This window comes from Homo sapiens, chromosome 14 (genome assembly GCF_000001405.40).
Source record: "Homo sapiens chromosome 14, GRCh38.p14 Primary Assembly".
NCBI lineage: Eukaryota > Metazoa > Chordata > Mammalia > Primates > Hominidae > Homo > Homo sapiens.
Window position 1 is genome coordinate 49,598,775 of NC_000014.9, and position 12,939 is coordinate 49,611,713.

At 45.9% G+C, this 12,939-nt stretch overlaps 1 protein-coding gene and 1 pseudogene across 4 annotated transcripts in view, besides 5 other annotated features; both read left to right on the forward strand.

Moving 5' to 3' along the window:
- Positions 98–167: an enhancer, noted in NCBI's record as "active region_8314". NCBI's record gives its function as "activates an Ori minimal core promoter by ATAC-STARR-seq in GM12878 lymphoblastoid cells {active_cell/tissue: GM12878}" and the evidence as "EXISTENCE:reporter gene assay evidence [ECO:0000049][PMID:35858748]".
- The window catches only part of LRR1 (leucine rich repeat protein 1), a 15,733-nt gene continuing 2,959 nt past the window's right edge, over positions 166–12,939 (forward strand). Inside the window, exons 1-4 of one of the 4 annotated variants that reach the window (NR_037793.2) lie at positions 166–429; positions 2,768–2,875; positions 3,596–3,694; positions 8,626–9,347. Coding sequence is in view for 2 of the 4 variants with exons in the window: in NM_152329.4 (NP_689542.2) it covers positions 247–429; positions 3,596–3,694; positions 8,626–9,347 (1,004 nt within the window). In the remaining 2 variants the exon portion in view is untranslated. Of the gene's footprint in view, positions 430–2,767; positions 2,876–3,595; positions 3,695–4,777; positions 4,845–8,625; positions 9,348–12,939 lie in introns of all 4 variants that reach the window. The other 3 variants (NR_037792.2, NM_152329.4, NM_203467.2) reach the window with 3 other exon arrangements.
- Positions 263–1,033: an enhancer, noted in NCBI's record as "NANOG-H3K27ac-H3K4me1 hESC enhancer chr14:50065755-50066525 (GRCh37/hg19 assembly coordinates)". NCBI's record gives its function as "activates a minimal SCP1, AML or CMV promoter by ChIP-STARR-seq in primed H9 embryonic stem cells {active_cell/tissue: H9 hESC(primed)}" and the evidence as "EXISTENCE:reporter gene assay evidence [ECO:0000049][PMID:30033119]".
- Positions 298–477: an enhancer, noted in NCBI's record as "active region_8315". NCBI's record gives its function as "activates an Ori minimal core promoter by ATAC-STARR-seq in GM12878 lymphoblastoid cells {active_cell/tissue: GM12878}" and the evidence as "EXISTENCE:reporter gene assay evidence [ECO:0000049][PMID:35858748]".
- Positions 518–607: an enhancer, noted in NCBI's record as "active region_8316". NCBI's record gives its function as "activates an Ori minimal core promoter by ATAC-STARR-seq in GM12878 lymphoblastoid cells {active_cell/tissue: GM12878}" and the evidence as "EXISTENCE:reporter gene assay evidence [ECO:0000049][PMID:35858748]".
- On the forward strand, positions 899–2,139 carry RHOQP1 (ras homolog family member Q pseudogene 1; annotated as a pseudogene).
- Positions 1,178–1,237: a silencer, noted in NCBI's record as "silent region_5696". NCBI's record gives its function as "represses an Ori minimal core promoter by ATAC-STARR-seq in GM12878 lymphoblastoid cells {active_cell/tissue: GM12878}" and the evidence as "EXISTENCE:reporter gene assay evidence [ECO:0000049][PMID:35858748]".

Sequence of the window (12,939 nt, forward strand, 5' to 3'; positions counted from 1 at the left end):
GGATCCAGGTGGTCAGTCCCGGTACGCAACCACGGCGAGAACCCGGCCCTGCTAAGGGAGAAGGGAAGCCGTTTCCCGCGGGCTTCATACAGACACGGTGCTAAGACAGCCCGAGTCGCGGACCAGTCCAACAGGCAGGCAGATCAGTGGGCAGCCCGCGTGCGCGAGGACCCCGATGGCGGCGCCGGGTGGCGGGAAGGAGGAAGTTTCAAAGCCAGCTTGACGTGGTTGTGGCCGTTGGGCGAGATGAAGCTACACTGTGAGGTGGAGGTGATCAGCCGGCACTTGCCCGCCTTGGGGCTTAGGAACCGGGGCAAGGGCGTCCGAGCCGTGTTGAGCCTCTGTCAGCAGACTTCCAGGAGTCAGCCGCCGGTCCGAGCCTTCCTGCTCATCTCCACCCTGAAGGACAAGCGCGGGACCCGCTATGAGGTGCGTGAAGTGGGCAGGCCCTGTCAGTCTCGCGTTCTTCTTGGAAGCCGAGACGCGGGCCACCCTCGGTCCTCATGCTCCCGGCTGCTCCCTAGGCGAAAGCCCGCCTTGGGGGTTCCTGAACTCCCAGCCTTGAGACCTACCATCAGCCCGACCCCAGGGTCCTGTGCGTCTTCCTACGGACCCGAAAGAAGAAAGCTTTGAGAGTGTACCTTTTCGCTATTTTTCCTCCCCACTTTTACGACTTTGAATTTACAGTGTTGCTATTTAGTAGTGGATGGCAATCCCGCCTGTTTCAAGTTTCTGAAATTTTGCGTGAAACAAGCGCAAATGAAGCAGCTGTCCAGTTGGGGAACAGTAAAATAACTGCAGTTCTGTTCAGTGAATTCTTTCTCCCACAATATTCTCCCTAGCTTAAAAAAGCAGGTCGGCCGCCCTCCCCACAGTTGCCGTCTCCCCCGGGGCCGGCCGGTCTTATGATCCGGCGGATCCTCCTGGGGAGGCCGGGACGGGGAGAGGGCGCGGGCGCCGAGTGGCGGGGGCAGCGGGCGGGCGCGGCGACCGGGGCCGGGGCGGGGATCCGGGCGGCGACCGCGGCGGCGGCAGCGCCGCGGGCCTGCGGCCCTCTCCCCTCCGGCGAGGGGAGTCGCTGCTTGGGGCCGGGGGGGCGGCCCCGCGGCGTGGAGCGGCGGCGACGGCGGCGGACCCTCCAGGCGGGCTGAGGCTGAGCCCGGGGCCGGGGCGGGGGCTCCGGGGGGACCATGCCCGGAGGCCGGCCGGCAGCAGCATCATGGCTCACGGGCCCGGCGCGCTGATGCTCAAGTGCGTGGTGGTCGGCGACGGGGCGGTGGGCAAGACGTGCCTACTCATGAGCTGTGCCAACGACGCCTTCCCGGAGGAGTACGTGCCCACCGTCTTCGACCACTACACAGTCAGCGTCACCGTGGGGGGCAAGCAGTACCTCCTAGGACTCTATAACACCGCCGGACAGGAAGACTATGACCATCTGAGGCCTTTATCTTACCCAATGACCGACGTCTTCCTTATATGCTTCTCGGTGGTAAATCCAGCCTCATTTCAAAATGTGAGGGAGGAGTGGGTACCGGAACTTAAGGAATACGCACCAAATGTACCCTTTTTATTAATAGGAGCTCAGATTGATCTCCGAGATGACCCCAAAACTTTAGCAAGACTGAGTGATATGAAAGAAAAACCTATATGTGTGGAACAAGGACAGAAACTAGCAAAAGAGATAGGAGCATGCTGCTATGTGGAATGTTCAGCTTTAACCCAGAAGGGATTGAAGACTGTTTTTGATGAGGCTATCATAGCCATTTTAACTCCAAAGAAACACACTGTAAAAAAAAAAGAATAGGATCAAGATGTATAAACTGTTGTTTAATTACGTGAGAAACATCTTCAGTGGCCAAGGAAACTGTCCATTTCTCTCAGAAAGCAAATGAAATGCTGCAGCTATACCCAGACCTTTTATAGGTAATGAAGCAGTTCAAAACTTGAAAGAAAACAAAACCTGTCCTCAGAATTCTGTAAAGTTTATTAAGAATGTTCCTTAAAGATTTAAGAAGCAGTAAGCAGCATCTGAAGCCACAATCTATTATAAATACTTTATTTCAACTAGAAGGTACAATCTCTCAGGGGTTTCATAGTTTAAAAAGCTACAATCACATCATGTTGTAACTACATAAAAAACAGAGCTGTAGATGGAACTGCTTGGCTTTGACCATACACATTTCTGCACAGCCCTTACAGAATCTGCACAAAGAAATATCTCCCTTTTCTCCAGTTAATTGTTCTTGTATGTAAGTTGCTTTCTATTCCAGCATACCCAGAGTGGTGAAATAACAAGGCCAGCCACGTAGCCAAAGGTCGCTCCAAGCGTACAGGAGATGGGCCATACCTGAGGAGAGAATGTATGAGATCAAAAAAGAACAAATGTTTTATTACTTGAGCACAAGTGTAACCTAAATATTTCTATATTAAAGCTTAATGTGCTTTCTTAAAAAAAATCAGGTCACAGCATCCTGCACTTGCCTTGTCTTGATATTTGTTATGCTTATAAGTACTTGTTTAATAACTATCTCTCATCAGATTGTCAACTCTTTAAGTGTAGTTACCCTGTCAGTCTTATTCATTGCTATGTCCCAAGCCCCTATTAGAGTACCTGGTACATAGTGGGTTCTGAATCAATAGTTGTTGAAATCTAAAGCAGATGCAACAGCAATCATTAATTTTTTTTAAATTTTAAATATGCCATTTATATAGATGATAATCATTAAATTTTTTTTGAGCACTCATTATGTGTCAGTCATCGTTCTAGCACTCAGGATAGAATAGCAAAGGAGACAAGATTCCTGCTCTCATGGAGTTTGTATATAACCTACTGGGAGGTGTGCCCACCCCAGGCTAATGGACTGAAGTTATGAAGGCAAGTAACTGCTATTGGCAACTCTTCCTACAGTTACATAGTTGGAATGGGAGAAAAGGAGCATTCTCTCAAAACATGGTGATCCTGTTCTCAAAGGAGAGTTACTGGACAGACAGAGCAGTAACATCCACCACCAGCTAGATGAGGAGTATAACTTCCCAACTGCTAAAAAAAAAAAAAAAAAAAAAAACTTTAAAACTTGGCCACGCGCCGTGGCTCATGCCTGTAATCCCAGCACTTTGGTAGGCCCAGGCAGGCAGATCACTTGAGGCCAGGAGTTCTAGACCAGCTTGGCCAACATGATGAAACCGTGTTTCTACTAAAAATACAAAAATTAGCCGGGCATGGTGGCACGCACCTGTAATCCGAGCTACTCAGGAGGCTGAGTCATGGGAATTGCTTGAACCTGGGAAGTGGAGGTTGCAGTGATGGCACCACTTCACTCCATCCTGGGTGAGAGTGAGTGAGACTCTGTCTCAAAAAAAAACAACTTTTTTTTTTTTTTTTTTTTTTTTTTTGAGAAGGAGTCTCTTTCTGTTGCCCAGCCTGGAGTGCAGTGGCGTGATAAAAAGCTTTAAAACTTAAAATGAAAACACTCAGACTCAAGGACTAAAAGCCAAACCAAAGCCTGGCAAAGTAACTGGCACATTCTAGTTGTAATAAATGTTACTGAGTAACAATAATTAGTTTTCTTCTTTTTTTTCTATTGGTTTTATGCAGCTAAGGGAGAACATTGAGCAATTCTTCACCAAATTTGTAGATGAGGGGAAAGCCACTGTTCGGTTAAAGGAGCCTCCTGTGGATATCTGTCTAAGTAAGGTATGGTATTAAAAACATTAATGATTAATATTTGGCTGTATTTTCTTTATTTTTTAGAAACAGAGTCTTGTTCTGTCACCCAAGCTGAAGTACAGAGGCATAGTCATAGCTCACTGCATCAAACACCTAGGCTCAAGCGAGCCTCCTGAATATCTGGGACTAAAGGTGTACCTCACCACTCCCGGATAAATTTTTAAAATAACTTTTTGTAGAGACGGAGTCTTGATATGATGTTGCCCAGACTGGCCTTGAACTCCTGGCCTCAAGCGATCCTCTTGCCTCAGCCTCCCAAAGTGTTGGGATTATAAGCATGAGCCACCATACTTGGCCTGGCGTGTATTTGCTTGCTTGCTTGCTTTTTTTGTTTGTTTGTTTGTTTGTTTTGAGACGGAGTTTTGCTCTTGCTGCCCAGGCTGGAGTGTAGTGGCACGATCTCAGCTCACTGCAACCTCCATCTCCCGGGTTCAAACAATTCTCCTGCCTCAGCCTCCCGAGTAGCTGGGATTACAGACACCCACCACCATGCGTGGCTGATTTTTTTTTTTTTTTTATCTTTAGTAGAGACAGGGTTTCACCATGTTGACCAGGCTGGTCTTGAACTCCTGAACTCAGGCGATCCACCCACCTCAGCCTTCCAAAATGCTGGGATTACAGGCGTGAGCCACTGTGCTCAGCCTGGCCTGTATTTTCTTTAAAGAAGGCTGTTTGCACATTCTGCTATCCCATATAGCCGAATAGGGACAGACTCTTGCAGGTTTTTTGAAGAGGCAATGGCACAAGAGGCAGCTTCCCAAATATGCTTGTGTGCCTTCTAAAAGGGCAAAGTCTGCCTCAGTAAGATTCCCAGGATGGGAAGAAAACTGGGTTTGCTTCTGTGCTCAAGATGGAGCCCTAGGGTGTTCTTTGACTGGAACTCTATAAGGCAACTGCACAGGTCTACATTTTGCCAGCTAAACCACAGGTTACAAATCTAAGTTTGTTGTAATAAAAGAGGAAAAAATTCAATTAGAACCATCTTGTATTTTATTTACTGTAATCATTCTTTCTTCTTCTTCTTTTTTTTTTTTTTTTTTTTTTTTTGAGATGGAGTCTCATTCTGTCACCCAGGTTGGAGTGCAGTGGGAAGAGCTTGGTTCACTGCAACCCACAGGTGGGTGCCACCACTCCTGGCGAATTTTTGTCTACTGTGCCTGGCCCTTACTGTAATCATTCCTTTTTTTTTTTTTTTTTTTTTTTTTTTAATGAGACAGAGTCTCTCCCTGTCACCCAGGCTGGATTACAGTGGCGTGATCTCAGCTCACTGCAACCTCCACCTCCCGGGTTCAAGCGATTCTCCTGCCCCAGCCTCCCAGTAGCTGGGATTACAGGCACGTGCCGCCATGCCCAGCTAATTTTTTGTATCTTTAGTAGAGACGGGTTTCACCATGTTGGCCCGGCTGGTCTCAAACTCCTGACCTCGTGATCCGCCCACCTTGGCCGCCCAAAGTGCTGGGATTATAGGCATGAGCCACCGTGCCCGGACTGTAATCATTCTTATAAAAATATAAACTGAGGCTGGGTGCCATAGCTCACACCTGTAATCCCAGCACTTTGGAAGGCCAAGACTGGTGGATCACTTGCTCTCAGGAGTTCAAGACCAGCCTGGGCAACATGGTGAAACCCTGTCTCCACAAAAAAAAAAAAAAAAATTAGCCAGGCGTGGTTTTCACACCTGTGGTGCCAGCTACTTGGGAGCCTGAGGTGGGAGGATCACTTGAGCCTGGGAGGTGCAGGTTACAATGAGCCAAGATTGCACCACTGCACTCCAACCTGGGCGACAGAGCCAGACCCTGTCTCAAACAAAACAAAACAAAACAAAACAAAAATACCATAAACTGGCTGGGTGCAGTGGCTCACACCTGGGAGGCCGAGGCAGGAGGATCACTTAATCCCACAAGTTAGAACCTGGAGGCCAGACACGGTGGCTCACGCCTATGATCCCAGCACTTTGGGAGCCCTAGTTGGGCGGATTGCTTGAATCCAGGTGTTCAAGATCAGCCTGGGTGACATGGTGAAACCCCATCTCTACAAAAAAATTAGCCAGGCATAGTGGTGTGCACCTGTAATCTCAGCTACTTGGGAGGCTGAGGTGGAGGGTCACCTGAGCCTGGAAGGTCAAGGCTGCAGTGAACTGTGATTGCAGCCACTGCACTCCATCCTGGTTGATAGAGCAAGACCCTGTCTCAAAAAAAAGTTCAGGGCTTCGGTGAACTATGATTGTGCCACTGTACTCCAGCATGGGTGACAGAGCAAGACCCTTTCTCAAACAAAAAAAATTTATAAACCATTAGAATTTTAAAACTGGTGGTTTTTTTCTGCCTTCTGCCCTCTGCCCTATTCCTCTTTCCCTTCCTGATGGGTGGAAACAATGTCTCGTTGTTCAACCTTGCTTTTTTTTTCTTTTTGATGAGACAAGGTCTCACTCTCACCTAGGCTGGAGTGCAGTGGCACCATCACAGCTCACTGCACCCTCGACCTTCCAGGCTCAGGTGATCCTTCCTTCTCAGCCTCCCAAGTAACTGGGACTATAGGGGCACAACACCATACCAGGCTAATTTTTTTGTACTGGTAGAGACAGGGTTTCACCTTGTTGCACAGGCTGGTCTCAAACTCCTGGGCTCAAGCAATCTGTCCACGTTGGCCTCCCAAAGTGGTGAAATTACAGGCATGGTCCACCACATCTGGCCCAACTGTGCATTATTTTTAACTCCAAGCAAAGTGCTCTGCAACATTAAAAGTTCGATAACTAAGGAGTTTGGATTGAATGGAATAATTTTGTCCCATCTCCTCCTTGTGATTTTTCATTTTTTTTCTTGACTTGCAGCTTATTCTTTCACTAATTCTTCCTTTCTATCTAAAAACAAGCTGAGATCTTACTGATTTTAAAAAAAGAAAACAAATTTCTAGAAAGACAAGGCTGAATTCATTGTCTCCACTTTTTATCTTTTGACCTTTACTGGTTTACTGAAAACACTGTCTCAGAGATCACTGATCTTTTCACTTGTCTATCACAGTATCATTATTTCTCATTATTTTTGCACTCTGTAGAATTTGACAATGATAATTACCCTTTTCTTAATAAAACTCTTTCTTTTCTTGGTATCTATGATAGGGCACTATGGTTTACCTTCAGTTTTCTTAGTCACTTCTTTGTCTCTTGCTTCCAGCAACATTTTTTTCTATCCCCAAAATAAAGGCTTTATTTCAGTCCTCTGCTGTTTTCTGTCATACCTGCCTTCCATTTGATAGTTCAGCTGTTATATGGGTGAATCCCAAGTCTGTGAACCAGTATGCTTTATTGTACCTAGTTGACCCAGGTCTTCTCCAGACTTTTCCCTACTCTGGTTCATTGTGTACAGTGCTACCAAAATAGTATTTAGTTCTTGTCATGTAACTTTCATACTTAAAATCCCTCCACTTTACGTTGGCATCTGAGCTCATTTACAATCTGTCCTCATACTGTATTTCCAATCTTTTGCTCTACATAGCTTCCATGTTCCAACAAAAATTAGCTTTTTTTTTTTTCTTTTTTTTTTTTTTATATGGAGTCGCTCTGTCGCCCAGGCTGCCGTGCAGTCTTGCGATCTTGGCTTACTGCAACCTCTGCCTCCCAGTTTCAAGCAACTCTCCTGCCTCAGCCTACCAAGCAGCTGGGATTACAGGCGCCTGCCGCCATGCCCCACTAATTTTTATATTTTTAGTAGAGACGGGGTTTCACCATGTTGGCCAAGCTGGCCTTGAACTCCTAACCTCAGGTGATCCACCCACCTTGGCCTCCCAAAGTGCTAGGATTATAGGCGTGAGCCACCAGTCCCAGCCTTTTTTGTTTGTTTGTTTTGTTTTGTTTTGAGACCGAGTTTCACTTGTGTCGCCCAGGCTGGAGTGCAGTGGCGCGATCTCGGCTCACTGCAACCTCTGCCTCCCAGGTTCAAGCAATTCTCCTGCCTCAGCTTCCTGACTAGCTGGGATTACAGGCATGCGCCACATTGCCCAGCTAATTTTTGTATTATTAGTAGAGAAGGGGTTTCACCATGTTGGCCAGGCTGGTCTGAAACTCCTGACCTCAAGTAATCCGCCTGCCTTGGCCTCCCAATGTTATGGGATTATAGGCGTGAGTCACTACACCTGGCCTTAAACTCAAATTTTTTTTTTTTTTTTTTAATTTTTCAGATAGAGTCTTGCTCTGTTGCCCAGCCTGGAGTGCAGTGGCACAATCTCGGCTCACTGCAACCTCCGCCTCCCGGGTTCAAGCGATTCTCCTTGCTCAGCCTCCAAAGTAGCTGGGATTACAGGCATGCACTACCACGCCCAGCTAATTTTTGTATTTTTAGTAGAAACAGGGCTTCACCATGTTGGCCAGGCTGGTCTCAAACTCCTGACCTCAAGTGATCCACCTGCCTCGGCCTCCCAAAGTGCTGGGATTACAGGCGTGAGCCACTGCGCCCCACCTAAACTCAAATCTTAAGTGGAATAGTCAATCATTTCCTATCTTATTTTATACTCTTATGATTTCCCTTTATTTTTGTTATTTTTTTTTTTTTTTGAGACAGTCTCACTCTGTTGCCCAGGCTGGAGGGCAGTGATATCATGGCTTACTGCAGCCTCTACTTCCTAGGCTCAGGTGATCCTCCCACCTCAGCCTCCCAAAGTGTTGGCATGACTTCCCTTTGAACAGTTTTATTTAGAATGTGTCCCTCCACGTAATTTTTTTCAAAAACTTTTAAACTTGAAATTTAGTCAAAATAAAGTACTAAAAAAAAGTTTTACAGTCAATTTCAGTAAATCATTGTATCACATTCATAAGTAATGCCATAGAATTTGTTATGGGAAGAACTAGCATGTATGTATTATCTCCAGTGGAATTTATAATTCTACAACTTTTATTTATTCAGGCCATTTCCAGCAGTTTAAAAGGTTTCCTTTCAGCTATGAGACTGGCTCATAGAGGCTGTAATGTTGATACACCAGTTTCAACGCTCACACCAGTGAAGACTTCAGAATTTGAAAACTTTAAAACTAAAATGGTTATCACATCCAAAAAAGACTATCCTCTAAGTAAGAATTTTCCATATTCCTTGGAACATCTTCAGACTTCTTACTGTGGGCTTGTCCGAGTTGATATGCGTATGCTTTGCTTAAAAAGCCTTAGGAAATTAGACTTGAGTCACAACCATATAAAAAAGCTTCCAGCTACAATTGGAGACCTCATACACCTTCAAGAACTTAACCTGAATGACAATCACTTGGAGTCATTTAGTGTAGCCTTGTGTCATTCTACACTCCAGAAGTCACTTCGGAGTTTGGACCTCAGCAAGAACAAAATCAAGGCACTCCCTGTGCAGTTTTGCCAGCTCCAGGAACTTAAGAATTTAAAACTTGACGATAATGAATTGATTCAATTTCCTTGCAAGATAGGACAACTAATAAACCTTCGCTTTTTGTCAGCAGCTCGAAATAAGCTTCCATTTTTGCCTAGTGAATTTAGAAATTTATCCCTTGAATACTTGGATCTTTTTGGAAATACTTTTGAACAACCAAAAGTCCTTCCAGTAATAAAGCTGCAAGCACCATTAACTTTATTGGAATCTTCTGCACGAACCATATTACATAATAGGTAAGATTTTAATAGTCATGTAATGTGGTGTCTTTGATAGCATTCTAATATTCCTATCAAACTCAGAGTAATAAAGTCTAACATTGCTTACAGTGCTATGCACAGTCTGACCCTTTGCTATAATGGTCTTCTTGTTCCTTACCTCTGCTTAGAATGATTTTTCTCCAGGAAGTCTCATTGCTCACTCCCTCACTTCATTCAGTTTTCTGCCGAAGTGTCATCCCAGAAAGGTCTTACCTGTCCATTCTATCTAAATTTTATTCCTTCCCTCCTTACATTGCTTGATTTTTTTTTTTTTTTTTTTTTTTTTTTTTTTTTTTTTTTTTGGTCATAGGACTCATTGCCTGTTATATATATTTTTAAACTTTTTTTTTTGTTTACTGTCAGTTTTCCCCACTAGAATGTAAGATCCATCAGCACATGGATGTTGTTTTATTCTCCACTATTTCCCTAGGATCTAAACCATGTATACCCTGCTCCTAGCATATATTAAGCACTCAATAAGTAGTTAAATGAATGAATGGCATTGTTTCTCAAAGTGTGCTCCCCTGACCAGCAGGATCTGCATTACCTAGGAACTTCCTAGAGATGCAGGTTCTAACATTCCAGACCTACTGAATCAGAAACTGAGAGTGGGGTCCAGCTGTGTCTTAGTGAGTCTTCCAAGTGATTTTGATGTACTCTAAAATTAGAGAGTTCGCATAGTGATGAAGGGTGGTCTTTGGAGTCAGACTTGGATTTGATTCCTGGCTTCACCACTTTGTATGACTTTAACCTCTTTTTTTTTTTTTTTTTTTTTTTTTTTGAGATGGAGTCTCACTCTGTCGCCCAGGCTGGAGTGCAGTGGTGCGAAGCGATCTCGGCTCACTGCAAGCTCCGCCTTCCAGGTTCACGCCATTCTCGTGCCTCAGCCTACTGAGTAGCTGGGACTACAGGCGCCCGCCAACACGCCTGGCTAATTTTTTTTTTGTATTTTTAGTAGAGACGGGGTTTCACCGTGTTAGCCAGGATGGTCTCGATCTCCTGACCTCGTGATCCGCCCGTCTTGGCCTCCCAAAGTGCTGGAATTACAGGCTTGAGCCACCACACCTGGCCCTTTTTTTTTTTTTTTTTTTTTTTTTTGAGACAGGGTCTCACTCTGTTGCCCAGGCTCGAGTGCAGTGGTCCAATCTCAGCTCACTGCAACTTCTGCCTCCCAGACTCAAGCAACTCTTCTGCCTCAGCCTCCTGAGTAGCTGGGATTACAGGCGCCCACCGCCATGCCTGGCTCATTTTTGTATTTTCATTTTATTTATTTGTTTGAGACAGAGTCTCACTGTGTCACCCAGGCTGGAGTGCAGTGGCGCCATCTCGGCTCACTGCAACCTCTGCTTCCCGAGTTCGAGCGATTCTCCTGCTTCAGCCTCCTAAGTAGCTGAAACTGCAGGCACCCGCCACCACACCTGGCTAATTTTTTTTTGTATTTTTAGTAGAGACGGAGTTTTACTATGTTGTCCAGGCTGGTCTTGAACTCCTGACCTTGTGATCTGCCCACTTTGGCCTCCCAAAGTGCCGGGATTACAGGTGTGAGCCACCGCGCCTGGCCTTATTTTTTTAATTTTTGAGATGGAGTCTTGTTCTGTCGCCCAGGTTGGAGTGCAGTGGCATGATCTCGGCTCAACTATAACCTCTGCCTCCCGAGTTCCAGGAGTTCTCCTGCCTCAGCCTTCCGAGTAGCTGGGATTACAAGCATGTGCCACCACACACAGCTAATTTTTGTATTTTTAGCAGAGATGGGGTTTCACCATGTTGACCAGGCTGGTCTCCCAACTCCTGACCTCAGGTGATCTGCCTGTCTTGGTCTCTCAAAATGCTGGAATTACAGGTGTGAGCCTCTCAAAGTGCTGGGATTACAGGCGTGAGCCACCACACCTGACCTATTTAACCTCTTTGATTTCATTTTCTCAGCTGTGAAACAGGAAGAATAATACCCACCTTATAGAGTTGTGACGATAAATGAGCTAATGTAATGCCAAAGCATTTGGCATATAGTAGGATTCAGTAGCTGTTGGTTCTCTTCTCCTTGTCTGAACACTAACTGCATTTGGTTTCATGGACCCTGAGCACCAGATTCATTTTGTTGAGGGTTTTTTTTTTTTTTTGAGATGGAGTTTTGCTCTTGTTGCCCAGGCTGGAGTGCAGTGCGCAAGCGGCTGGAGTGCAGTGCGCAAGCTGGAGTGCCTCCTGGGTTCAAGTGATTCTCCTGCCTCAGCCTCCCAAGTAGCTGGGATTACAGGCTCCCGCCACCACGGCTGGCTATTTTTTTGTATTTTTAGTAGAGATGGGGTTTCACCACGTTGGCCAGGCTGGTTTTGAACTCCTGGCCTCAAGCAATCCACCTGGCTTGGCCTCCCAAAGTGCTAGGATTACAGGCATGAGCCACCACTCCCAGCCATTGTTCAGGTTGCTTTTTATTTTTTGAGACAGTCTCTTTCACTCTTGCCCGGGCTGGAGTGGAATGGCGTGATCTCAGCTCACTGCAACCTCTGCCTCCCAGGTTCAAGCAGTTCTCCTGCCTCAGCCTCCCAAGTAGCTGGGATTACAGGTGCCCATGACCATGGCCGGCTAAATTTTTGTATTTTTAGTAGAGACAGGGTTTCACTATGTTGACCAGGCTGGTCTCAAACTCCTAACCTTGTGATCCACCTGCCTCAGCCTCCCAAAGTGCTGAGATTACAGACATGAGCCACCACACCCAGCCTGTTCAGGCTTCTTGAACGCATGTCTGGAAGCTAAGATGTGGACCAAAGTATTACTGAGAACCTATAAAATGGTAGAAAGATCATATTTCAAATAAGAAATTCTGAACTTTTTTAGGGGAGAGGGGCTCTTAAAACTGACCAAAGTTAAGGAACTGGAAAACTGTACACATGAGTACACAGAATTTTGCATAAAAGGAACCTGGCTCCCACTGAAACCCAGTCCAGTCCTCTCTCCTTGCCATCCCCAATGTAAGAACTCTTACTCTAAACCAATGGTTCTCAGACGTTACTTCAAATTTAGAATAACCTGAGAAACATTTAAAACATCTGAAGGCCAGGTGCGGTGGCTCACGCCTGTAACCCCAGCACTTTGGGAGATCGAGGCAGGCGGATCACAAGGTCGGGAGTTCGAGACCACACTGACCAACATGGTGAAACCTCGTCTCTACTAAAAATACAAAAATTAGCCGGGCATGGTGGTGCGCACCTGTAATCCCAGCTACTCAGGAGGCTGAGGCAGGAGAATCACTTGAACCCAGGAGGCAGAGGTTGCAGTGAGCCGAGATGGCACCACTGCACTCCAGCTTGGGAGTGCAGATTGAGACTCCGTCTCAATCAGTCAATCAGTTAATTAAATAAAATCACCAGAGGTGATACTGATGATTCAGGTTAAATCCACTGATTTGAGGGAACTCCAAACAGTATCTTTTGGCAGTGAGGTGCACCTGAGGCTATTGTTTCTCTAAGACATACATAAAAGAAATTGTAAGAATTGTAAGGCTGGGCGCAGTGGCTCACGCCTGTAATCCCAGCACTTTGGGAGGTCGAGGTGGGTGGATCACTTGAGGCCA